Raw genomic sequence first — 27,671 nt, forward strand, 5'->3', positions numbered from 1 at the left:
CTGATAAGATTTCACCAGTAACTAGTGAAGAGGAATTGGAAACTCTTACCAGAACCCTTTATATATCATTTATAGCCTATTATGCAAACACACTGTATGTGTTTATTATATAGTAAACTGCACACAGTTCTTATTTCATAGTGTGTTTAGTCATTCTCATTTAATCCTTTTGTATCTTCATAAAGTCCGTCAAGAACTTCTGCAGCTGTTGTTGGTGATGGTGGTGTGTACCCAGCGGCCCTGCTTGGACTAGGTTCCCAGGCAAGCTGTCTCCTTACAGATACTGCTTAACTCTGGGCCTATTTTGGCCAGAGTTACACAAATGTAGAGAGTACAGCACATTGAAAAGAAGTGCCATTTAAAGTCTTGTCTTTTAGAGATACTTAGGTTCATACAATTATACTGAGTTCTGTGAATGAGTTTCAAGGGATCTAGGAAGCCTTGGAAACTGTTACATATGTATGTTTGCAGGGGGAGGAATGTTTGGCTTTCAGCAGATTTTCAAAAGACCCCTTAATCCCAAGAGAGGTCAAGAATCACTGGTATAATAAAAAGGAATGAAGTTCTCATACATGCTACAACATGGATGAACCTTGAAAACATGAAAGAAGCCACAAAAGACCACATACTATATGTCTTTATTCATATGCAAGTCCAGAATAAAGAAATCTATAGAGACAGAAAGTAGATTAGTGGTTGTTTAGGGCTAGGTTGGCGGTGGGGGAATAAGAAGAGATGGGGATGACAGCTAAAAGGTACAGGGTTTTTGATGTGAGGAATATGTCCTAAAATTGACTGTGGTGAGGTCTGTACATATCTACGGATATGCTAAAACCCATAGAATGGTAGACTTCAAGTAGATAAATTATATGGTATATTAATTATATATCCATAAAGCTATCTTTAAAAAAAATAATTGGCATAGACTTATCATTTGCCAATCTTGTTCATATTCTTTACTTCATGAGGTATTATGAACTAAGTAAATGAACCTCCAAAAGTCACGACTAAGTGACTCACTCTTCTGATGCCAATTCCATTTCCCACCATGCTTCAGCTGTTGCCTAGTGTCAGGATAGGGGGAAAAGAGCATGGACTTGGGAGCCTGGACCACTTAATAACACTTGTACAGGCTGCTTAATCTTACTGTCTTGTTCTTATTTTCCTGTTCTAAAACAGAATGTTACTCAACTAAGAGTACAATTGTGAGACACTCTATGTAAAGTACCTAGCACTGTGCCTAGCATATGGTAGATACTAACAAATGATAGCATATGTTTATCATCATGTATTAGCACTGATTTGGTTTTAAGTGACAGAAACTCAATCTAGTTAAAGCAAAGACGGAAATGTATTAATTTATATCACTGGGAAGGCCATCTAGCTTCAGAAGAAGCAATAGCCAGAGACTCAAGTGACCTCTCAAGACCCTAGGTCCCTCTTTAACTCCTGGCTTTGTCCTCAGGTGGAAACACATGGAGACAAAGTTGTCAAAGCTTCAGACTCACATTCCACCAGCTTAGTGGCTCAAGTGGAAGAACAAACCTCTTTCTAGATAGTGCCAAAAGTCCTGGAAGACTCTTAATGGCCTGGCTAAGATGCTGTGTCCATCTCTGAGCCAATCTCCATGGCCAGGGGGAAGGAATTACAATTAATCAGGCCTGAATCATGTTCCATATCTGTGGAAGGATGATGTATTAGTCTGTTTTCACACTGCTAATACATACCCAAGACTGGGTAATTTATAAAGAAAAAGAGGTTTAATGGACTCAGTTCCACGTGGCTGGGGAGGCCTCACAATCATGGTAAAAGGCAAAAGGCATGTCTTACATGGTGGCAGGCAAGAGAGAATGAGAGCCAAGTGAAAGGGGAAACGCCTTACAAAACCGTCAGATCTTGTGAGACTTATTCACTACCAGGAGAACAGCATGGGGGGAACGGCCCCCATGATTCAATTATCTTTCACTGGGTCCCTCCCACAACACATGGAAATTATGGGAGCTACAATTCAAGATGAAATTTGGGTGGGGACACAGCCAAACCATATCAGAGGATAGATTACTCCCTCCCTGCACCCCAACCCCAAACCAATACATGTGCTATATATCTACAGATGTTTATTCTTTCCAGGGTGAGATAATCTTTTTAGGCTGAATGGTGAGGCAAAGAAAACTGACAATTCAGTTCTGCATTTACTGGTCACCCACTCTGGGGTAAGCACCTTCCATGTTGTGTGTGGGTATATGCACATGAACCCTTGAATATATGGGGAGCCTGTCAGATACCAAGATGAATGAGAATTTCATATATTAATTGTTTACACATTTTATAACAACAGTAATCCCTTCCTGGTGGCTTCAACTAGTTGCTGAAGTGTGGAGGAGACAATCTTTGTAAGAAATGTGGATAAAATTATATACCATGGGTAATTTTACTTATTAAATATTTTCTCGGTTGTGAGTTTAGAAAAGAGAACAAGGTAACACAAATGAGTATTTCAGGAAGCCCCTGCAATATTAGGCAGTGACTGCTGGGAAGAGGCCAGTAGTGGGTTTACATTTGCAAAGAGCCAAATCCTGCAGAATGGAGGCTGGTCTAGCTGAGGGTCAGCCCTCCTAGGGAGCCAACATGGGTGTAAATCAGATGTATGCCATTGCTCATTCTTCAGGTCTTTTTTTTTTTTTTTTTTTTTGGACATTTGGATTTAATTTGTGGGTGTCTCTTGCTTTTCCAAAAGCAGTGTTTAGAACATAGAGGAAATTTAAGGTTCCAGGATGCACTGCTGGGTTGTGCCCTTCCCTATGCCATTTCCTGTCTTTATGTATTTTCATGGGTGATTCTTATTATGTTCAAAACAGGTTACATGTATGTGTCTCCCTCACCTCAGAAACAGTTCAGACCCAGCTGTTTAGCATCACTAATGAGAAGTTTCTTTGTAGATCTCCCATGGTCAAAAAACTAATAGAAAACTATAGTGCAGTGGTTAAGAGTGCAGGTTTAGAATTCCAATCTGGCTTTGAATCCTTACTTTATTTTTTTTTTATCACCAGATCATATTAAATCAATTATTATGTTTATTTTTTATATCTGTTTTCCTCAGTTAGAATATGAGCTCCAGGAGCGCAGGCATCACTGTCTGTTTTGTTCACTGATATAGTTCACACACCTATAACAGTGTCAGGTACTTTGAAGGCACTCAATAAATATCTGTTGAATGTGTGAATCATGCAATTAACCATATTAATATACTATTTAACACGGTTTCTGTTTTCACCCTTAGGGTTTCATCCTGAGTGTGCTGAATTATGGGATTGACAGGGAGCAGTGCTCAATATCAGCATCTGAATGTCCTCTTTTTCTTTCCATCTTCTCCCTGCTCCATCTGCCCAGAGAAGGGTTTTATCTTTCTGTATGAACTATACACCTGTACTTGGATCAGCATGCATTCTTTCCTACTTTAAGTTTAATGTATAAACTCTATGTGGTAAGTTCTCTACCTTTGCTCTTGATATAAAAAAGCTAGATTTTGGAATCCCAGCAGAAATTCTCTCCCATCAAAGCCTGCCTAATAATAACAAGTCAAAAGCACTTTGACTTTTATATTACTATGTCTCTTATGAACTTAAAAACTATTTTGAAACTCAGAGCTGAGCAATGACTTCTTTGTCTTAGACTATAACTGTTCTCTCCCTGAAATAGGACAGATAAAAAGCTATCAGTGCTGCTCAGGAAATAGTGACTTCTCAGCATCTCAGCATAGTTCCCTGCTATATCCACTTCCATAAATGATCAACGTCCCTTTTGTTGGGCTCTTCTTTGCCTTGTAACGCCTATATGTGATTACCAAACTGGGAGTTCTTTTCTCATCTTTAAGATGCCTTTATAAGTCTTTGCTTGATTCATGATATACTGATTCCCTCTTTCAGCTGTAGAAGGGCAATCTTCAACTAGAGGCTCATAAACGACTCCCCTCATGAGAAGTACCACTGTCTTCATGCTCAGATCGCGCTATCTAAATCCTGTTTCCTACCTCGTCTTACCTTAGCTGATATTCCTCAACAAAGGTTTGCCTGGGAAGGACAGTTTACTCTTATGCCATTTGCAACTAATACAGGACCCTAAAAGTGTATATGGAGGAGGCATATTGAGTTAAAAGTACAAGTAGAGTGTCTGAAACCACCAATTTCCTTTCCAGTAGTGATAAAAGATATTAAACATAGTGAGACAAATTTAAAGGAAATTTATCAGAGAGCAAGAGAGAAAACTATTTCTCCCCAAAGAAAGTATCTATGTGCGAGTAAAGCTGCTAGCTGACAGTCCAGGGCTGAAAGCATCTCAGTGGCCCCTGGAGTCAGGGACAGAGGGAGTGGTAGCCTCTTTCTCAGCCCTCCATGTGCCTCCCCATACCCACAGTGTGGAGAGCTGGGAAGACAGGTATGTCAGAACCCTGGCCATGGCAGCCACCAGACAGAGGAGGCAGTCCTAAATAGACTGTGACTTTAGAAGACTAGGAGAAATCCCTTAGTTCTCAGGGCTTAAATCCACCTGAAAAGATTCCTAAATTACAAAAAATGGATTTCAATTTGGCAGTGTGCACTGTTCAGAGTTCAGGGAAAGAGACAGCTCACCGGAAGACTTGATTGTCTGATCCCTATGGAAAAATGGATGCATCAGAGATCTATGGACTATTTGCAATTTAAAGTATTCAACTGGCTCCCTTCAGTTTGAATATTTGCACACTTAGCAATCTCCTGATGAGAGTTGGCTTCCTCATCTTTATTTTTTTGGCTGTATGTAACAGACTTAAACAAAACTGGCTTAAAAATTAAGAGTATCATTTTCTCAAATGAGGAGCAGTCTGAGGTACTGTAGGTCTAGGGTTGGTAAATTTAGAGGCTCAACAACATCAGCAAGGACCAGATCCTTCTCATAATTCTGCACTGCAATACTTAGGGTGTTGGCTTTGGTCCTCTAGCTTGTCTCCTTATGGTCAAAAAACAGTGACAACAACCTTCACCATAGCATCCTCACACAACAAAATGTGAAGTCCATAGTGAAAATGATATTTCTTTGCCAACAAGAAAACTTTCCCAGGCCTCCCCCCAACCCTTTTCAAAAACCTTACCTTTGTACCTTATTAGTCATAATTGTTCCCAAATCTTTTTCTAAGCCAACTGTCAGCAAGGAGAACACAGTCACCATGATCAACTTGGACTAATCAAGACTAATCGCCTTTTGGTCCTGAACATGGGCCCAGCTTTCCTAAAACACAGAGTCACACATGAATGTATCAGAATTCTACTAATTAGAAAACCTGGGGAAATGGCTGTTAGATACAAAATGCAACCAAAAGTATCTACTGCACCATGAACGTTTCCTGCAAGGAAAGACACATAGAGAGTTCAACTGTCTGGTCACTATGGCTATTTGTCTCCTTATTTAAAAAATAGTATTCCAAGGCCAGGCATGGTGGCTCATGCCTGTAATCCCAGCACTTTGGGAGGCTGAGGTGGGTGGATCACTTGTGGTCAGGAGTTCGAGACCAGCTTGGTCAACATGGTGAAACCAACCCCTCTCTACTAAAAATACAAAAACTAGCCAGTGGTGGCAGCCACCTGTAATCCCAGCTATTCAGGAGGCTGAAGCAGGAGAATCACTTGAACCCAGGAGGTGGAGGTTGCAGTCAACCGAGATCACACCACTGTACTCCAGCCTGGGAAATGGAGTAAGACTCTGTCTCAAAAAAAAAAAAAAAAAAAATCCTCTTTACTTAAACATTTGTCTTCCTCTTCAGAAATAACAAAAAAAGCTCCAAGAATGAAGAGGTGACCTATTAAACTTCAAATTGATGATGACTTATGCCTGTTTTCTTTTTTTTTTTTTTTTTTTTTTTTTTTTTTGAGACAGAGTCTCGCTCTGTCGCCCAGGCTGGAGTGCAGTGGCGCGATCTCGGCTCACTGCAAGCTCCGCCTCTTGGGTTCACGCCATTCTCCTGCCTCAGCCTCCCGAGTAGCTGGGACTACAGGCGCCCGCCACCACGCCCGGCTAATTTTTTGTATTTTTAGTAGAGACGGGGTTTCACCGTGTTAGCCAGGATGGTCTCGATCTCCTGACCTCGTGATCCGCCCGCCTCGGCCTCCCAAAGTGCTGGGATTACAGGCGTGAGCCACCGCGCCCGGCGCCTGTTTTCTTAAGGTATGGACGGACAGATGCCCGGCAATCCCAAGGGCTGTGTGGGGTGACCAGGAGTGATGGAAAAAATCTTATCTAGTTAAAGGTTTGGCAAATGTCCACTGAGGGATCTTGATGTGCCAGGCACTGTGCCAAGCAGGATACCAAGGAGATAGGGCATAGTTTCCGTTCCTAGGAATCCACAGTCAGCCTCATGACTTTGGCTGGGGATACTCTTTGTTATGAGACCTACAGCCAACCAGTCTGGGAGTCCAAGACTGTCCAGATGGTTTGGGCTTCTGGTTGCCCACTCAGTATGGCTAGCTTGCCACCAGCAGAGAGACAGAAGTTAGTCTCTTAGCTGTCCTCCTTAGCTGACCAGGGCCCGGAGGGTGCATACATCTTGTTTCAATCCCTGGATCTGTGGTTCTTCTTGTCAGCAGACAAGACCAGCAGTGTCTGCCTTGTTCTACACTATGAGTTTGCTTCAAGCCTCTGCTCTCCAGGAAAGCATTGACAGTATTTCTTAGGAATAATATCTATATAAGAAAGCCCTCAAGGAAGGCAAGAAACAAGCTTGGTAATGGGCTGAAGGGAAGAGGGCAGAGTTCTAGGAGGGAATGAGCAATGCTGTGTATAAAAAAGCACAGTATAAGCAGTGGAACATGCAATAAAAGGCATTGCACCAATTTTCCTTGTAAGGCAATGGTAACATATAAAGAATGAATTCAATCTCAACACCTCAAAACCTATAAGAAGCAAGGTGCAGACACCATGACCCCTTATTTAGTAGACATTTTGGGGTTCTGTGGGTATATTAGATTAAGCAGACACGGAAGAATTTTGTTATTGTCACTATGGTTAAAAGTAATTTGAGGTGTCCATTCCAAGATGGCTGAATAGGAACAGCTCTGGTCTGCAGCTCCCAGCATGATTGATGCAGAAGATGGGTGATTTCTGCATTTCCAACTGAAGTACCTGGTTCATCTCATTGAGACTGGTTGTAAAGCGGATACAGCCCACGGAGGGCAAGCTGAAGCAGGGCGGGGCGTCACTTTACCCTGGAAGCACAAGGGGTCATGGGGTTTCCCTTTCCTAGCCAAGGGAAGCTGTGACAGACAGCACCTAGAAAAACGGGACACTCCTGCTCAAATACTGCGCTTTTCCAACGTTCTTAGCAAACAGCACACCAGGAGATTATATCCCCCGCATGGCTTGGCAGGTCCCACGCCCATGAAGCCTTGTTCACTGCTAGCTCAGCAGTGAGATCAACCTGCAAGGCAGCGGCCCAGCAGGGGGAGGGGCGTCTGCCATTGCTGAGGCTTGAGTAGGTAAACAAAGTGGCCTGGAAGCTCGAACTGGGCGGAGCCAACCACAGCACCACAAGGCTTGCTGCCTCTATAGACTCCACCTCTGGGGGCAGGGCATAGTTGAACAAAAGGCAGCAGAAACTTCTGCAGACTTAAATGTCCCTGTTTGACAGCTCTGAAGAGAGCAGTGGTTCTCCCAGCACCGTGTTGGAGCTCTGAGAACAGACAGACTGTCTCCTCAACTGGGTCCCTGACTCCCGTGTAGCCTAAGTGGGAGACACCTCCCAGTAGGGGCAAACTGACACATCATACAGCCGGGTGCCCCTCTGAGACAAAGCTTCCAGAGGAAGGATCAGGCAGCAACATTTGCTGTTCTGCAGCCTCTGCTGGTGATACCCAGGCAAACAGGGTCTGGAGGGCACCTCCAGCAAACTCCAACAGAACTGCAGCTGAGGGACCTGACTGTTAGAAGGAAAACTAACAAACATAAAGGAATAGCAACAACATCAACAAAAACGACATCCACACCAAAACCCCATCTGTAGGTCACCATCATCAAAGACCAAAGGTAGATTAAACCACAAAGATGGGGAGAAACCACAGCAGAAAAGCTGAAAATCCTAAAAACCAGAGTGCCTCTTTTCCTCCAAAGGATAGCAGCTCCTTGCCAGCAATGGAACAACCCTGGATGGAGAAAACTTTCATGAGTTGACAGAAGTAGGCTTCAGAAGGTCAGTAATAACAAACTTCTCTGAGCTAAAAGAGGATGTTCGAACCCGTCGCAAGGAAGCTAAAAACCTTGAAAAAAGATTAGATGAATGGCTAACTAGAACGAACAGTGTAGGGAAGACCTTAAATGACCGGATGGAGCTGAAAACCATGGCACGAGAACTACATGACACATGCATAAGCTTCAATAGCTGATTCAATCAAGGGGAAGAAAGGGTATCAGTGACTGAAGATCAAATTAATGAAATAAAGTGAGAAGTTTAGAAAAAAAGAGTAAAAATAAATAAAGCCTCCAAGAAATATGGGACTATGTGAAAAGACCAAATCTATGTTTGATTGGTGTATCTGAAAGTGACAGGGAGAATGGAACCAAGTTGGAAAACACTCTGCAGGATATTATCCAGGAGAACTTCCCCAACCTAGCAAGGCAGGTCAACATTCAAATTCAACAAATACAGAGAACACCACTAAGATACTTCAGAAGAGCAACTCCACGACACATAATTGTCATATTCACCAAGGTTGAAATGAAGGAAAAAATGTTAAGGGCAGCCAAAGAGAAAGGTTTCGTTACCCACAAAGGGAAGCCCATCAGACTAACAGTGGGTCTCTCGGCAGAAGCTCTACAAGCCCGAAAAGAGTGGAGGCCAATATTCAACATTCTTAAAGAAAAGAATTTTCAACCCAGAATTTCATATCCAGCCAAACTAAGCTTCATAAGTGAAGGAGAAATAAAATCCTTTACAGACAAGCAAATGCTGAGAGATTTTGTCACTACCAGGCCTGCCTTACAAAAGCTCCCAAAGGAAGCACTAAACATGGAAAGGAACAACTGGTACCAGCCACTGCAAAAACATACCAAATTGTAAAGACCATTGAGGCTAGGAAGAAACTGCATAAAGTAATGGGCAAAATAACCAGCTAACATCATAATGGCAGGATCAAATTCACACATAACAATATTAACCTTAAATGTAAATGGGCTAAATGCCCCAATTAAAAGACACAGATGGGCAAATTGGATAGAGTCAAGTCCTATCAGTGTGCTGTATTCAGGAAACCCATCTCACGTGCAGAGACACACATAGGCTCAAAATAAAGGGATGGAGGAAGATCTACCAAGCAAATGGAAAGCAAAAAAAAAGGAGGGGTTGCAATCCTAGTCTCTGATAAAACAAACTTTAAACCAACAAAGATCAAAAGACACAAAGAAGGCCATTACATAATGGTAAAGGGATCAATTCAACGAGAAGAGCTAACTATCCTAAATATATATGCACCCAATACAGGAGCACCCAGATTCATAAAGCAAGTCCTTAGAGCCGGAGACTTTAACACCCCACTGTCAATATTAGACAGATCAATGAGACAGAAGGTTAACAAGGATATCCAGGACTTGAACTAAGCTCCGCACCAAGCAGACCTAATAGTCATCTACAGAACTCTCCACCCCAAATCAACAGAATATCCATTCTTCTCAGCATCACATCACACTTATTCCAAAATTGACCACGTAGTTGAAGTAAAGCACTCCTCAGCAAATGTAAAAGAACAGAAACCACCACAAACTGTCTCTCAGATCACAGTACAATCAAATTAGAACTCAGGATTAAGAAACTCACTCAAAACCAAACAACTACGTGGAAACTGAACAACCTGCTCCTGAATGACTACTGGGTACATAACGAAATGAAGGCAGAAATAAAGATGTTCTTTGAAACCAATGAGAAAAAAGACACAACATACCAGAATCTCTCGGACACATTTAAAGCAGTGTGTAGAGGGAAATTTATAGCACTAAATGCCCACAAGAGAAAGCAGGAAAGATCTAAAATCGACACCCTCACATCACAATTAAAAGAACTAGAGAAGCAGAAGCAAACAAATTCAAAAGCTAGCAGAAAGCAAGCAATAACTAAGATCAGAGCAGGACTGAAGGAAATAGAGACACAAAAGCCCTCCAAAAAAATCAATGAATCCAGCAGTTGGTTTTTTGAAGACATCAATAAAAAATTTTTTTTTTGGATTTTAAATTATTATTATTTTTTTATTTTATTATTATTATACTTTAAGTTTTAGGGTACACGTGCACAATGTGCAGGTTAGTTACGTATGTATACCTGTGCCATGCTGCTGTGCTGCACCCATTAACTCATCATTTAGCATTAGGTATATCTCCTAATGCTAGGCCTCCCCGCTCCCCCCACCCCACAACAGACCCCCATCAATAAAATTGATAGACCGCTAGCAAGACTAATAAAGAAAAAAACAGGGAGCCAAGATGGCTGAATAGGAACAGCTCCAGTCTACAGCTCCCAGCATGAGTGACGCAGAAGATGGGTGATTTCTGCATTTCCAACTGAGGTACCAGGTTCTTCTCACTGGGGAGTGCCAGACAGTGGGTGCAGCACACCATGCATGAGCTGAAGCAGGGTGAGGCATCACCTCACCCGGGAAGCATAAGGGGTCAGGGAATTCCCTTTCCTAGTCAAAGAAAGGGGTGACAGATGGCACCTGGAAAATTGGGTCACTCCTACCCTAATACTGCGCTTTTCCGATGGGCTTAACAAACAGCACACCAGGAGATTATATCCCACACCTGGCTCAGAGGGTCCTACGGCCACGGAGCCTCGCTCATTGCTAGCACAGCAGTCTGAGATCAAACTGCAAGGCAGCAGTGAGGCTAGGGGAGGGGCGCCCGCCATTGCCAAGGCTTGAGTAGGTAAACAAAACAGCCAGGAAGCTCGAACTGGGTGGAGCCTGCCACAGCTCAAGGAGGCCTGCCTGCCTCTGTAGGCTCCACCTCTGGGGGCAGGGAACAGACAAACAAAAGGCAGCAGTAACCTCTGCAGACTCAAATGTCCCTGTCTGACAGCTTTGTAGAGAGTAGTGGTTCTCCCAGCACGCAGCTTGAGATCTGAGAATGGGCAGACTGCCTCCTCAAGTGGGTCCCCGACCCCCAAGTAGCCTAACTGGGAGGCATCCCCCAGTAGGGGCGGACTGACACCTCACATGGCTGGGTACTCCTCTGAGACAAAACTTCCACAGAAACGATCAGGCAACAGCATTTGCGGTTCACCAATATCCGCTTTTCTGCAGCCTCCGCTGCTGATACCCAGGCAAACAGGGTCTGGAGTGGACCTCCAGCAAACTCCAACAGACCTGCAGCTGAGGGTCCTGACTGTTAGAAGGAAAACTAACAAACAGAAAGGACATCCACACCAAAAACCCATCTGTACATCACCATCATCAAAGACCAAAGGTAGGTAAAACCACAAAGATGGGGAAAAAACAGAGCAGAAAAACCAGACACTCTAAAAATCAGAGCGCCTCTCCTCCTCCAAAGGAACGCAGCTCCTCACCAGCAATGGAAAAAAGCTGGATGGAGAATGACTTTGACGAGTTGAGAGAAGAAGGCTTCAGAAGATCAAACTACTCCGAGTTAAAGGAGGAAGTTTGAACCAATGGCAAAGAAGTTAAAAACCTTGAAAAAAAATTACACGAATGGATAATTAGAATAATCAATGCAGAGAAGTCCTTAAAGGAACTGATGGAGCTGAAAACCACAGCACGAGAACTACATGACGAATGCACAAGCCTCAGGAGCCAATGCAATCAACTGGAAGAAAGGGTATCAGCGATGGAAGACGAAATGAATGAAATTAAGTGAGAAGAGAAGTTTAGAGAAAAAAGTATAAAAAGAAATGAACAAAGCCTCCAAGAAATATGAGACTAAGTGAAAAGACCAAATCTACGTCTGATTGGTGTACCTGAAAGTGACGGGGAGAATGGAACCAAGTTGGAAAACACTCTGCAGGATATTATCCAAGAGAACTTCCCCAATCTAGCAAGGCAGGCCAACATTCAAATTCAGGAAATACAGAGAACGCCACTAAGATACTTCTCGAGAAGAGCAACTCCAAGACACATAATTGTCAGATTCACCAAAGTTGAAATGACGGAAAAAATGTTAAGGGCAGCCAGAGAGAAACGTGGGGTTACCCACAAAGGGAAGCCCATCAGACTAACAGCTTATCTCTCGGCAGAAACTCTACCAGCCAGAAGAGAGTGGGGGCCAATATTCAACATTCTTAAAGAAAAGAATTTTTAACCCAGAATTTCATATCCAGCCAAACTAAGCTTCATAAGTGAAAGAGAAATAAATTCCTTTACAGACAAGCAAATGCTGAGAGATTTTGTCACCACCAGGCCTGCCCTAAAAGAGCTCCCAAAGGAAGCACTAAACATGGAAAGGAACAACTGGTACCTGCCACTGCAAAAACATGACAAATTGTAAAGACCATCAAGGCTAGGAAGAAACTGCATCAACTAACGAGCAAAATCACCAGCTAACATCAAAATGACAGGATCAAATTTACACATAACAATATTAACCTTAAATGTAAATGGGCTAAATGCTCCAATTAAAAGACACAGACTGGCAGATTGGATAAAGAGTCAAGACCCATGAGTGTGCTGTATTCAGGAAACCCATCTCACGTGCAGAGACACATATAGGCTCAAAATAAAGGGATGGAGGAAGATCTACCAAGCAAACGGAAAACAAAAAAAGGGAGGGGTTCCAATCCTAGTCTCTGATAAAACAGACTTTAAACCAACAAAGATCAAAAGAGACAAAGAAGGCCATTACATAATGGTAAAGGGATCAATTCAACAAGAAGAACTAACTATCCTAAATATATATGCACCCAATACAGGAGAACCCAGATTCATAAAGCAAGTCCTTAGAGACCTACAAAGAGACTTAGACTCCCACACAATAATAATGGAGACTTTAACACCCCACTGTCAACATTAGACAGATCAACGAGACAGAAAGTTAACAAGGATATCCAGGAACCGAACTCAGCTCTGCACCAAGCGGACCTAATAGACATCTACAGAACTCTCCACCCCAAATCAACAGAATATACATTCTTTTCAGCACCACAACACACCTATTCCAAAATTGACCACATAGTTGGAAGTAAAGCACTCCTCAGCAAATGTAAAAGAACAGAAATTATAACAAACCATCTCTCAGACCACAGTGCAATCAAACTAGAACTCAGGATTAAGAAACTCACTCAAAACCACTCAACTACATGGAAACTGAACAACCTCCTCCTGAATGACTACTGGGTACATAACGAAATGAAGGCAGAAATAAAGATGTTCTTTGAAACCAATGAGAACAAAGACACAACATACCAGAATGTCTGGGACACATTCAAAGCAGTGTGTAGAGGGAAATTTACAGCACTAAATGCCCACAAGAGAAAGCAGGAAAGATCTAAAATTGACACCCTAACATCACAATTAAAAGAACTACAGAAGCAAGAGCAGACACATTCAAAAGCTAGCAGAAGGCAAGAAATAACTAAGATCAGAGCAGAACTGAAGGACATAGAGACACAAAAATCCCTTCAAAAAATCAATGAATCCAGGAGCTGGTTTTTTGAAAAGATCAACAAAATTGATAGACCACTAGCAAGACTAATAAAGAAGAAAAGAGAAAAGAATCAAATAGACGCAATAAAAAATGACAAAGGGGATATCACCCCCGATCCCACAGAAATACAAACTACCATCAGAGAACACTATAAACATCTCTACGCAAATAAACTAGAAAATCTAGAAGAAATGGATAAATTCCTCAACACATACACCCTCCCAAGACTACACCAGGAAGAAGTTGAATCTCTGAATAGACCAATGACAGGCTCTGAAATTGAGGCAATAATTAATAGCTTACCAACCAAAAAAAGTCCAGGACCAGATGGATTCACAGTCGAATTCTACCAGAGGTACAAAGAGGAGCTGGTACCATTCCTTCTGAAACTATTCCAATCAATAGAAAAAGAAGGAATCCTCCCTAAGTCATTTTATGAGGCCAGCATCATCCTGATACCAAAGCCTGGCAGAGACACAACAAAAAAAGAGAAGTTTAGACCAATATCCCTGATGAACATTGATGCAAAAATCCTCAATAAAATACTGACAAGCCAAATCCAGCAGCACATCAAAAAGCTTATCCACCACAATCAAGTGGGCTTCATCCCTGGGATGCAAGCCTGGTTCAACATATGCAAATCAATAAATGTAATCCATCACATAAACAGAACCAATGACAAAAACCACATGATTATCTCAATAGATGCAGAAAAGGCCTTTGACAAAATTCAACAGTCCTTCATGCTAAAAACTCTCAATAAGCTAGGTATTCATGGAACATATCTCAAAATAATAAGAGCTATTTATGACAAACCCACAGCCAATATCATACTGAATGGGCAAAAACTGGAAGCATTCCCTTTGAAAACTGGCACAAGACAGGGATGCCCTCACCACTCCTATTCAACATACTGTTGGAAGTTCTGCTCAGGGCAATCAGGCAGGACAAAGAAATAAAGGGTATTCAATTAGGAAAAGGGGAAGTCAAATTGTCCAGGTTTGCAGATGACATGACTGTATATTTAGAAAACCCCATAATCTCAGCCCAAAATCTCAAGCTGATAGGCAACTTCAGCAAAGTTTCAGGACACAAAATGAATGTGCAAAAATCACAAGAATCCCTATACACCAATAACAGACAAACAGCCAAATCATGAGTGAACTCCCATTCACAATTGCTACAAAGAGAATAAAATACCTAGGAATCCAACTTACAAGGGATGTGAAGGACCTCTTCAAGGAGAACTACAAACCACTGCTCAATGAAATAAAAGAAGACACAAAAAAATGGAAGAATATTCCATGCTCATGGATAGGAAGAATCAATATCATGAAAATGGCCATACTGCCCAAAGTTATTATAGATTCAATGCCATCCCCATCAGGCTACCAACAACTTTCTTCATAGAATTGGAAAAAACTACTTTAAATTTCATATGGAACAAAAAAAGAGCCCGCATTGCCAAGACAATCTTAAGCAAAAAGAACAACATTGGAGGCATCATGCTACTTGACTTCAAACTATACTACAAGGCTACAGTAACCAACACAGCATGGTACTGGTACCAAAACAGAGACATAGACCAATGAAACAGAACAGAGGCCTCAGAAATAACCCCACTCATCTACAACCATCTGATCTTTGACAAACCTAACAAAAACAAGAAATGGGGAAATGATTCCCTCTTTAATAAAGGTGCTGGCAAAACTGGCTAGCCATATGTAGAAAGCTGAAACTGGATCCCTTCCTTACACCTTATACAAAAATTAATTCAAGATGGATTAAAGACTTAAATGTTAGACCTAAAACCATAAAAGCCCTAGAAGAACACCTAGGCAATACCATTCGGAACATAGGAATGGGCAAAGACTTCATGACTAAAATACCAAAAGCAATGGCAACAAAAGCCAAAACTGACAAATGGGATCTAATTAAACTAAAGAGCTTCTGCACAGCAAAAGAAACTACCATCAGAGTGAACAGGCAACCTACAGAATGGGAGACAATTTTTGCAATCTACCCATCTGACAAAGGGCTAATATCCAGAATCTACAAAGAGCTTAAACAAATTTACAAGAAAAAAGCAAACAACTCCATCAAAAAGTAGGCAAAGGATATGAACAGACACTTCTCAAAAGAAGACATTTATGCAGCCAACAGACACATGAAAAAATGCTCATCATCACTGGTCATAAGAGAAATGCAAATCAAAACCACAATGAGATACCATCTCATGACAGTCAGAATGGCGATCATTAAAAAGTCAGGAAACAACAGATGCTAGAGAGGATGTGGAGAAACAGGAATGCTTTTACACTGTTGGTTGGAGTGTAAACTAGTTGAACCATTGTTGAAGACAGTGTGGCAATTACTCAAGGATCTAGAACTAGAAATACCATTTGACCCAGCCATCCCATTACTGGGTATACACCCAAAGGATTATAAGTCATGCTACTATAAAGACATCTGCACGTGTATGTTTACTGTGTCACTACTCACAATAGCAGACTTGGAACCAACCCAAATGTCCATCAATGATAGACTGGATTAAGAAAACGTGGCACATATACACCATGGAATACTATGCAGCCATAAAAAAGGATGAGCTCATGTCCTTTTTGCAGGGACATGGATAAAGCTTGAAACCATCATTCTGAGCCAACTATCACAAGGACAGAAAACCAAACACCGCATGTTCTTACTCATATGTGGGAAGTGAACAATGAGAGCACTTGGACACAAGGAGGGGAACATCACACACCGGGGCCTGTCATGGGGTGAGGGGCTGGGGGAAGGATAGCATTAGGAGAAATACCTACTGTAAATGACAAGTTAATGGGTGCAGCAAACCAACATGGCACATGTATACCATCGTAACAAACCTGCATATTGTACACATGTACCCTAGAACTTAAAGTATAATAATAAAAAAAGTAATTTGTACAAACTAGAAATACTAAAGGGAAAAATAAAGTGAATTCCTGGAAAAATTAACTCCATTTATTATTAATGCTCAGTGGGAAAATCATTTAAGTAATTTACTGCTGCCTATATGGATGCAGACATTAACCCATGCAATGATGATTAATAGCATTGTTCAGAGAAATTTACCTCTACAGATGCAAAGAATGAAAATTTACTGAGGCTTCTAGTCAGTCACAAACCACTATTGCTCTTCATATTCTTTCTTGATTAAGAAAATGAACTGAACGAAGATTCTATCACACAAACCTATAATTATACTTTTTTTTTTTTTTTGAGACAGAGTCTTGCTCTGTTGCCCAGACTAGAGTGCAGTGGCGTGATCTCAGCTCACTGCAACCTCTACCTCCCAGGTTGGAGAAATCTCCTGCCTCAGCCTCCTGAGTAGCTGGGATTACAGGCGCCCGCCACCATGGCTGGCTAATTTTTGTATTTTTAGTAGAGATGGGGTTTCACCATCTTGGCCAGGCTGGTCTCGAACTCCTGACCTCCTGATCTACCCACCTAGGCACATGCCTGTAGTCCCAGCTACTTGGTAGGCTTAGTTGGAAGGATCACCTGAGCCCAGGGAGGTCAAGGCTGCAATGAGCCATGATGATGCCACTGTATTCTAGTCTAGGCCAAAGTGCGACCCTGTTTCAAAAAAATAAAGATTCATAGATGTAGGATGCTTGCATGAAAAATGGTGTGAGCTCCACGAGGGCAGGTGCTTGGTCAGTCATGTTCACAGTTGTATCTTTAGTATCAAGAGCTGTGCCTGGGATATGATAGATGCATGATAAATAGCTGTTGAGGGATGAATGAATGCTGAATGTTGACTAATTGGCTGGCCCAGTCATCCCTGCATCTTCTCTCTCAGCTTTTTTTTTGCAGGGTACTTCCCTCCAACTTTCTTTTCACTCAGGGCTGTGTGGTACCTCACCTTTCCCATGTCTCTCCTTCCTATTTACTTTTGTCTAGCCAATTTATGGGGTTGCTCAGCAAATGTTTTGACTCTAATTGGGAAAACAAGCTCTTAGTGCCATCATTGTCACCTGGCCCAGACTCCCAAAACAAGCCTGGTGTTGAAGGAAATGTCAACTGAAAAGGTTTGGTCCGCCCCTCTGGTAGACCAAAAACAACACATCTGGGTACTGAATCTGAGTTTTTTCATTGTCTTTCCAGAGAAACCCCTCCTGATCCCCTGCTCAGAGCCACTTCCACCTTCAATGGCTCTAGAATTCTGTAAGACAGCAGCTCTCTATTACCTAAAACAAAAGTGGAAAATTTAAATGATACTTAAACTGGAGTCACTCTCTTCTGAAAGTGGAGGATGAGAAAACCAGACTCAATTTCTTTATCTGTAATATGAAAGAGTTGGTTTAGATTAGTGGTATTCCATGGGCAAAATCTGTCCTACAGTGTGTCATGATTTGCCCATTGTACCAGGGTTCTCCAGAGAAATGGAACCAATCAGATATAGATGAAGATATGTCAGTATCTATAGATATGTAAGAGGAAATTTTTATGGGAATTGGCTCATGTGATTATGGAGGTAGAGAAGTCCCATCCTATGCCACGTGCAAGCTGGAGAACCAGGGAAGCTGGTGGTATAATTCAGTTGGAGTCCAAATGTCTGAGAACCAAGGAAGCTGATGGTATAACTTTCAGGCCAAGGCCAAACGCCTGAGATTCTAGGAGGCCACTGGCATAAGTCTGAGTTTGAAGGCCCAAGAACCTGGAGTTCTGATGTCCAAGGGCTGGAGAAGATGGATGGCCCACCTCCAGCAGACAGCATGAATTCACCTTTCCTCTGCCTTTTTGTTCTATTCTAGGCCTTGAAGGATTAAATGGTGCCCACTCACATGGAGTGAGGTTGGCTCTTCCTTACTCAGTCCACTCATTCAAATGCCAGTCTCCTCCAGAAACACCCTCACAGACACCGAAATAATGCTTTACCAGCGACCTGGTATATTAGTCCATTCTTACACTGCTATAAAGAAGTACCTGAAACTGGGTAATTTATAAAGAAAGAGGTTTAATTGATTCACAGTTCTGCAGGCTGTACAGGAAGCATGGCTGGAGGTCTCAGAAAACTTTCAATCATGGCAGAAGGCAAATCAAATGCACCTTACATGGCCAGAGCAGGAGTAAGAGAGAGAAGGGGGAGGTGCTACATACTTTAAAATAACCAGATCTCGTGAGAAGGAACACACTCTAATGAGTGTCGCAAGGGGGAAGTCCGCCGCCACGATCCAATCACCTCCCACCAGGTCCCTCCACCAACACTGGGCTGGAGACACAAATCCAAATCATATCACCTGGGTATCCCTTAACCCAGTAAGATCACATCTAAAATTAACCATCACACCTATAGAAAAAACTTCTAAAACATGAATTAGTTGCCAACATTTAAAAACCAGGAAATTTCACAGAGAAACTAATCAAAGCTGGAGCGGAGTCAGATTCCCTCTCTAGTGGGGCTGTGTGCTCTCCCCCTGTCTTCTCTACTCCCTACCTTCTTTCGCTTTGTTTAGAGTCTTTGAGGCCCATGTGATCCGCTGGGGTGGCATGCCTGCCTAACTCTCACTGTTCTGCCTGATTCCTGTGGGGACATTGGGATCTCTGAAGTCAGTGACTAAAATCAATTCTAGCTCTCTGATTCTGGGGTATTTTAACAAGTCATTGCTGAAACATTGCAGAGTATTCCTCTATCGTGATACTCAAAGTACCTACAAATGCTCTGAGGACATTGTTAAGATGCAGATTCTAATCCAGTAGGTCTGGTATGGGGCCTGAGAGGTTGTATTTCCATCAAGCCTCCCTGTGATGTTGATGTGCAGACCACATTTTGCAGCAAGGCCCCCTACTTGCCTCCGAATTCTCTTCCGTTAGAGTTTTGGAGATTAGAGTCAGCCAGGGAGTGTTTTAAAAATATACCAATACCCAGTCTGCATGCCCAGAGATTTGAATTATTTAGTTTGGGGTGGGCCCAGGGATTGGTATTTTTTTTAATGTCTCAGATTATTCTAATATGTCTTCAGGATTAAGAACCACTGCACTGGGCCGGGTGCGGTGGCTCACGCCGGTAATCCCAACATTTTGGAAGGCCGAGGCAGGTGGATCACAAGGTCAGGAGATCAAGACCATCCCGGCCAACATGGTGAAACCCCATTTCTACTAAAAATACAAAAATTAGCTGGGCGTGGTGGTGTGTGCCTATAATCCCACCTACTCAGGAGGCTGAGGCAGGAGAATCGCCTGAACCAGGGAGTCAGAGGTTGCAGTGAGCCAAGATTGCACCATTGCACTCCAGCCTGGTGATACAGCGAAACTCCATCTCAAAAAAAAAAAAAAAAAAAAAAAAAAACACACGCACACAAACAAACTAACTACTGCACTAAGTGGCATTCATCCTCAATATCAAACTTCAGCTTCTAGGCTGAATCTTAGCTTTAATATAAAGACATTAAATTTGTGTTGTTTTAAAAGGATAGACCATAGTGGTTACTGAGAGAGTTAGTGCGTTGCAGAGGGGCCCCTTGGTACCTCAGTTGAGTCCCACTTTCCCACCCATCTAAGTACCTTCAAGCTGCTGCTGCTCAGATTTCTGAGCCAGTTCTGTCACTTCATCAGCTGCCCTTGGCTTTGAACCCCCAGGAACAAAACCTGGTTACATCTCTCATGCCTTGGCTCACTGGCCTGAATTTCTCAACTTCAAAGTGAAAACCTTCTAACAAACTTTTAACACAAGCCTCCATGTCTCTCTCCAAGGACTCCTGAGGCCTGGCACACCTTTTCAAGTTTATTCACTTCCACCTACATCCTTACAATAATCTAGGAGGGCTCAACAGAGGGACTGGAGGTCAGGAGCGACCACAAAGAGAAAACATCTAGATGAAGTCTTTAAGAATAAAAAGAAGTCATTCTTTTAACTGAATAAGGTGAAGATGGCCACTCCTACATCTTAATAGACAAAGCCATATAAAAACAAGGAATTGTGTCTTTGCCCTTAGTTCCCGGTATGGAAATGTCCCATATTTGATACATGCTTGATAAATCCCTGTAAGTTAATTCATGGAGTGGAGTTGCTTCTGTGAGACTGCTTGTTCTGACCAAGTGAAATCAGGTGTGGAAGGCAACTACGGCTTAACTGCGTTTAAGTGAGACTCCCTGAACCTGCTCACAGCCTGGGCCTGGCTGTCCCTATTTCTCCTCGGCTCCCTGAATGCATTTCTTTTAGTGCACTGAGGGAAAGGTACACGCATGACTGTTACTTCTTGCCCCATCCCTTCTACACATACACATATCTTTCCTCTTCCCTGGTTTCTAGGTTTGGGCTCCAACTCTTAGTATGAAGACCATTTGTAAGCATACCTCGCTGAAAAATATGGTGAAAATTATTCCACACATAACATCACTTACACCTAGCCACCTCACTTCCTCCAGGATACGGGGCTTTGTTTTCCAGAAACTGCCAAGAATTTATGACCTTGAACCTGTTGACAGGTAGTTGAGGAATGGGATCTTAGAGTCTGTGGGAAAGGAGTATGCCACTCCCTGGACCACTCTGGGCCCAGGACACACCCTCTACACTTCCCCTATGCCCCAAGGCCTTTCAGAAGCTGAGAAACAGCCAGAGGCTTGATAGCTGTCCTATTTAGAGACAGGCTGGACTCTTCCCACCCCTATCTTCAGAGGAATGGAACTAGAACTTACTACTTCTTGGTGCCTATAAAAACAGGCACATGACTTTTTTGGTCTCTCAGAACTACTGCCTCTTTCCTGATGAAGAAAAGAGGGCAAGATGACTTGGCTCGGTGGGGGAGTTTGCTCTCTCCTCTGAAAGTTTTGTGATATTTCTCTTCCTTCATTTTGTTGTCCAAAATCTTCCATCTCCCAGCTAGAATGTTATTATAGAATTCATAAGGCCTGTCTGCTGAGAGAAGTTTAAAAGAATACTCATGTAGAAAGTCCAATAAATGTTTAATAAGCATCACCACAAGCTAGGAAGGGACACTGGAGACAAAGTGGTGAATAAGATGGCATGGCCCTTGCCCTCTCCCAGCTTACAGTTTAGGGAGAACTAATTTGCATTATTTAGTATACCGGAGCCCATGCAACTGAAGACAATATTGTTTGGAGTGGAATTGACCAACAGGCTTCAACTTATTTACAATTATATAGATTTTAACTTTTTGCTTTGCCATTTTCAATTCTCCCTGCCAGTCTTAGTTATACTAAGATTTACTTCTTTCTTCTCGGGATCTTAATTTTGATTCATCAATTAGCCAGGGTACATCCTCAAATAATTTTTTCAAGATGAAATACATAGGAGGTGTATTTTTGAAATCTTTGTCTAGAAATGTACTTCTGTTGCCTTAACAGATGAAAAACAATGTGTATAATATTCTTAGTTTATAAATTTTCCCTTCAACATCTTGTAAACACAGCACCATTATTTTTCTGGCATTTACAGTTGCATAAACAAGTTGAAAGTTTCTCTGATTTTGTTCATTTGTGGTTATATTTTTCTGGCTAGATGCATGCAGATTTATTCACTTATCCTTGTAATTCAAGGTTTTGCTAGTTTTTTTTTTTTCCAGAATATTCTTTGGCTGAACCAAGGGGCTCTTTTCATCTATGAATCCAGGATCTTTTTTCTTCCCTGAAAAATTCTTTTTCATCATGATTATCACTTCTGTTCTAACTACTCTAGTTTATACACTTAATCTTAGCCCAAAGGCTGAGAAGCAATTAACTAACTACTCTAGGGTTTTTTTAATAAAAGAAATCTGCAGTTCTTGGTTGGCTCTCTGTATCCTTTGAATAATAGTTTCTTACCCACCATTTCTTTATTCATTTTAACATATTTCTTTTCCCCTGCTTTTCACTATCTTCTGGAACAATTTCTAGGCTTATCCTCCACATTACTGATTTAAATTCTACCCTGTTAGTTCTGCTGTTTATGACGCTGATGCAGATTTAAATTGTGCTACTCCAAGTATTGTTTCCTTGCAGTCCTATTTTACCACTCCCACTTCCCTTTCTTCTCAACATTTTCATTTTTATGTTGTATCATGTGGTATAGTTGTTGTATTGTTAGCCCTTCACTTCACAATGTTCCCATCTATGGCTTTCTGTTTCTGTTTCATTAAGGTCATGTATTATTGAGGATGCTATTTTCTAAAAATGAATTTAACTATTTTCTAAAAATTTATCCTTCCAGTAAGTCATTTCTATTATTATGCAGTCCCTCTAAGTCGTAGTTCTAAAGGTATCAGAATTATCTGGGGAATGTGTGAGATTGATTTCTGGCCCCCTCCTGAGAGATACTGAGATTCAGCAGGCTATGCTGGCACAGATGGTGCCCAGAACTCAAGCAGTTCCATGGTCCACTGGATTGCAGGTTCCGTTACCTTAGGTCTGTGAGACAGATGTGCACAGCATATAGCACAATTCCTGGTTACTCGCAGGCAAGCATTACATTGGCTCTGCTGGAAAGACATATAATTTTTCTCTCCTACTTTCAAGACTTGATCTTTGACATGCTAAACCAATCAAATACATTAAAAACTCAGATCCCCCGCAAGCACACTACCAGAGATTTTTGTCTCTGCCCTTGTCTACAGTGCTTTACGTGAGGAACCTAAATCAGCAATGCTCTACCACTGTCAGTCCCTAGCTGGGCTCTACCTGAACAAGCATATGTTGAGGTGGAGGAGGCAGCCAGGAGTTCCATGCTCAGCAGGGTGCCTACATCTTGTGTCTCTGAACAAAGCAGAAAAGGAAAGCAGAGAACAGTGTGTGAGATCTTCCACCCCATCTCAGGTGAGTGAATACAGCTGCCTTATGTTACAAAAGAAAGTGCAGCTAATTTGTGGATATTTTGCTAGATTATTCCTTCCCTTCAATTTGGATCCAGCAGCTATATTAATAATGCCTCTTTATCAAGTTGGAAGCTAAGAGAGGTAGCATCAGTTGCTAATAGATAGGTAGCACATTCCATAGGAAACGAAACTTATCAAGAATAATCCAAAATGGAATATAGGATGCTTTGGAAAGGGGGGAAAAAGGAGGGTAAGAAAATGGACTCTTCTTACCCAGTTGTTCTCACAATTGTGCTCCAATATCCAGGTGGTTGCAGATCATTCCTTTTACTTGTCTTTCTTTTCCTTTCGTCTTGTATATTACCACGGAGCTTTCTCTTATTTCTCCTCCTCCCTTTCAAACCAGACTGTCCCTGGAAGGAAATTTCATGCTCTACTTCCTCTAGTCCTAGAACCTCAGAGCTCTTTGGAAGACTCTTTCTTTGCCCCAGGGAACTTACTTAAACCTGCCTCAGCAGCAAGTGCCTTTCCTCAGGTAGATGCAAATACTGCTGCTTTCTATCAATTTCTTTTCTACCCACACACTTTTCCAATTACCTCCCCGAGCCTCCTTCTCTCCCCCATGCCACCTGGCTCCTTATACAGCTGTCATCACTTAGGTATATATTTTGTGCTTATGTGACTTATGTTATTGTGTATTTCCATTATATCTGTCCTATTTCCAGTTATATTGCACACTCATTTGGTCTTCCATCTCCTTTGTAACTTCTCACAGTCTGTTGTATGTGCCCACACATGGAGGTCCCTCAGATTGAGATGATTACATATTTCCTTTTGCACACACACCCCCAACTATAATGACAGGTCTTTTTCTTCTGCAGTTTCTCTGTTTCTTAACCATTTCTAATTTCCCTGGTACTAGAAGTCAGAAAACCTTTGTTCTTCTCCACTTGTTTCTACTACCCTGTAACTTTATTTGAGTCATTTAACATTGGTGAGCTGTGGACTCTAACACACCTTTCCAGGGTGAGGTGGGGGGTGGGGTGAGGATTATAATGGCTTCCCCTTAGGGTTTCTGGTCACTACTGCTAATGAGTTCCCACTGGGTTCCAAGGTCAGCTGAGGTTTCAGAACTCCTGATCAGCAATTTTTTTGTTGTTTGACATTCCCCTGTTTCTGGGTCACTAGAGTACATATTGACTGAGATGTCTTCCTGCCTTCACAACAGGTGAGCATAGCTCTTCAAATAGGAAGCCCTTGGCCTTATAAAAGTCATAAGAAACACTGTCTGCAGGGTGTCTGAGGTCTCTGGAGGCCAGCAATACCTCTTCTGAGCACACTGGTTTAAAGGGCAGGATGGGAAAGGACATCCTGAATGATACAGGCAAGTCTTTCCATATGGGGAGGAGGAATACAGCCCATGGTTCAAGCTCCCACTTATATTCCCTGCCCAGAACCAAATCATTCCCAAATTCTCAAATTGGTTATAGTACTAAACCCCCAGTGCAGTCATACAGTATCTTCTATGGCTGCTATTTCATTGCAAAATATTGTGTACTTAGCCTTTATCCTAGGGTAGCTCAGTGGTGTCAAATTCCTTCCAGTAATAGCATTGGCTTTTCCAGTGCCTGATTCCAAATGAATCATATATGGTCTTATTTCTGAAATTGACATCAACTGATGTTAGGCCCAAGGTTTATATAATAGCTAAGATGTTTATGGACACTATCCCAATATAACCTTCTCTCAAGCCACAGTGTCCTCTCCAATGAGAGTTGAGTTGCAGTTCTAGGTGTCTACTGCTGGCTGGAGCCTCACTCAGTTTCTAGACATTCAAATCTAAGTCTTAGCATACTACGTGGTACAAAGTAGGTCCTCAAAAATATCTGTGGAGTAAAGGAATACATAAGCCCCAAGAGGAATCTTGATGAAAAATTATTTTCTAATTTCAGTGTGAAGTATATGGAAAGACTGGTTCTCTCCTCCAGATAGCAAGTGATTAAGAACAGCCAATTCCCTCATTCTCAAGTGTGACTTGGGCTGGAATACAGAGAGGGTTCCAACTTGCTAAGCAGTCTTGTTAACTCGATTCTCCCATTGCAGTTTCCTTTGGTGCCAGCTCCAATTGGCAGTTCCTGGAAGTTCCCAGCAACAGCATCTCCTGATGATGGTAATTACTATTGGCTGTTCTGGGAATGGCAGCCACTCCTATAAAATCTTCAGCGTCTGTTATGTCCCTGAAGATGCACCATGCAACATTTTCAGCACCATTCCTACAGAGCAGTCCAAAGCTGGAGCACTGCTCTTCGAGCAACTTCCATTTGTGGTTGCTCCAAGGCCTCAGCTGCCTTGCTGCTCAAAGTGTGGTCCATGGACTGGAAACACTGGAATCACTTGGGAGATTGTTAGAAAGGCAGGACCTTGGACTACACCCCAGACCTACTGAAACAGAATCTGCATTTTAACAAGATCCCAGGTGTTTCCTATGCACATTAAAGTTCAAGAAACATTTCCCCACTACAGTTCTAATTCAATAGGTCTAGGTCTAGGGTGGGGCCCCAAATTCTGCATTTTTGAACAAGGCCCTAAGTGATGATGCAGCTAGTCCAGGGACCACCCTTCAAGTAGCAGAGTTTAGATTCATTAGGGAAGAAAGAGTATGTAAATTCCCCACTCACCACCACCACCACCATCATCACCATCACCTGTGGCTGCTCCCAAAGGCAAGGGACAGATGACCAGTGCTTCCTTAGCCCACCAGGATACTGTTTTTCAGTCCCAGCTGCACACCAGACAGAATCACCTGGGCAGTTTTTAACAATACTGACTCCTTGGCCCATCACCAGAGTGTCTGGTTTGAATGATGTGGGAAGGAACCCAAATATTGGAATTGTTCAGCAATTCCTTAGGTGATTCTAATGGATGGAAAACTACTGGTCTTGGGTGAGCTCTTAAAATTAGTAAGGATGCTCTCTGCTTCCACCTTCCACCAAATTCTCTTACCTCTCTTGCAGGTCTAATCTCTTGTATCTGAAAGATTTTAGCTAAATTCCTAATTCTGCTTCAAGTGCAACAAGAACACTTGTGTAAATCAATTTCTACCAGTGCCTGGGTAGTATTCTAAGAAAACTCTAATAATGACTTGATGGTGCACTAGACAGATGATTCCCTTTCACAAGCTTCATGAAACTAATTCTGTAAAGTGCCACTCTTTAAACAACTCCAGGAGAAACCCTCGGTCTTCCTGTTTCACAAGTTGAGAGGAATTTCCTAAGAGAAAAACATGAGATTCAGCTTTCCTGTATCCTTGAGTTTCATCCTTAATCTCCAAGCTGGTTTATCAATTTTTTCTCACATCACTTCATTATATTTTATAGTCCTGTGGTCTTCTCAGGGAATTCCCGCAGGAGTTCCCTGGCTCCTCTCTTCATTCCTGAGGGCAGTGCTGGAGTTAGAGGGTGACAATTAATTACTTCCCTGCTTTTCTGCTCCAAGCCCCAAAGCAGTTGACAGGTAGACAAGAGAGGCTGGAGCTGTAAGCTGGGGCCAAGAATGTCTGCTCTATTGCTGATAAAGCTAGATGAAGAGCCCCAGTCTGCACCTAAGATTTCTCACACAGCCCTACTTAACATTTCCCAACCAAATTGCAGCCTCTCCCTTTGCCAAGACAAAGTCCAGTCCCAGAAAACTTCCAGAGACAGAGAAACCTTGCTTCTTGGAAAGTGAGAATGGAAGGGGTTGAACTGAACGTGTCCATTTCTCCATCCCAAACTCACCAATCAGAGAAGCAGGACGAGCAGAAAGGACGTCATCTTCCCAACACACAAAGAGGTGGCGGCAAAATGTCCCGCTGTAGGGTCAAGATGGGAACTCCAGGAGCGAGACTTACCACCAGGAGGTGGCCATCTTGCTCAGTGCTCCTCAGAAAGCAGGTGGCTGAGCTACAAATCCTGATTGGCCTTCAGAGATCTGGCAATGAAACAGCCAGCCAATCAGGCTCTCCCCTCAGTGCCACGGCCAAGCCCCTGTGAGGTCGCCCTGAGAGCACCATGAGTCCACTGTCTAGCCTGACAGTGGTTATCAGATGTGATGGACTTGGGGAGGGTTCCTATTTGCAGTAGAAATGTGGAGTGTTTTAAAAGAAATATATTTCTCTGGCATTTACACTCGGCCAGTGGCATTCTGTGTGGGCCAATGAGACCTTCAAAAGGGGCT

At 42.3% G+C, this 27,671-nt stretch overlaps 1 long non-coding RNA gene across 2 annotated transcripts in view, besides 1 other annotated feature; it reads right to left on the reverse strand.

The window, feature by feature from the left end:
- LINC02105 (long intergenic non-protein coding RNA 2105) overlaps positions 1–27,359 on the reverse strand; it is a 43,633-nt gene extending 16,274 nt beyond the window's left edge. Inside the window, exons 1-2 of one of the 2 annotated variants that reach the window (NR_147167.1) lie at positions 27,233–27,359; positions 23,730–23,869 (exon numbers count right to left, since the gene is read on the reverse strand). This is a non-coding gene — a long non-coding RNA (long intergenic non-protein coding RNA 2105). The remainder of the gene's footprint in view (positions 1–23,729; positions 23,870–27,232) is intronic. The other variant, NR_147168.1, reaches the window with a different exon arrangement.
- Positions 7,382–7,582: a silencer, noted in NCBI's record as "peak5241 fragment used in MPRA reporter construct". NCBI's record gives its function as "represses an SCP1 promoter by STARR-seq MPRAs in K562 erythroleukemia cells {active_cell/tissue: K562}" and the evidence as "EXISTENCE:reporter gene assay evidence [ECO:0000049][PMID:32103011]".
- Positions 27,360–27,671: the final 312 nt, after the last annotated feature.

The sequence above is a fragment of the Homo sapiens genome, chromosome 5 (genome assembly GCF_000001405.40).
Source record: "Homo sapiens chromosome 5, GRCh38.p14 Primary Assembly".
Classification (NCBI taxonomy): domain Eukaryota; kingdom Metazoa; phylum Chordata; class Mammalia; order Primates; family Hominidae; genus Homo; species Homo sapiens.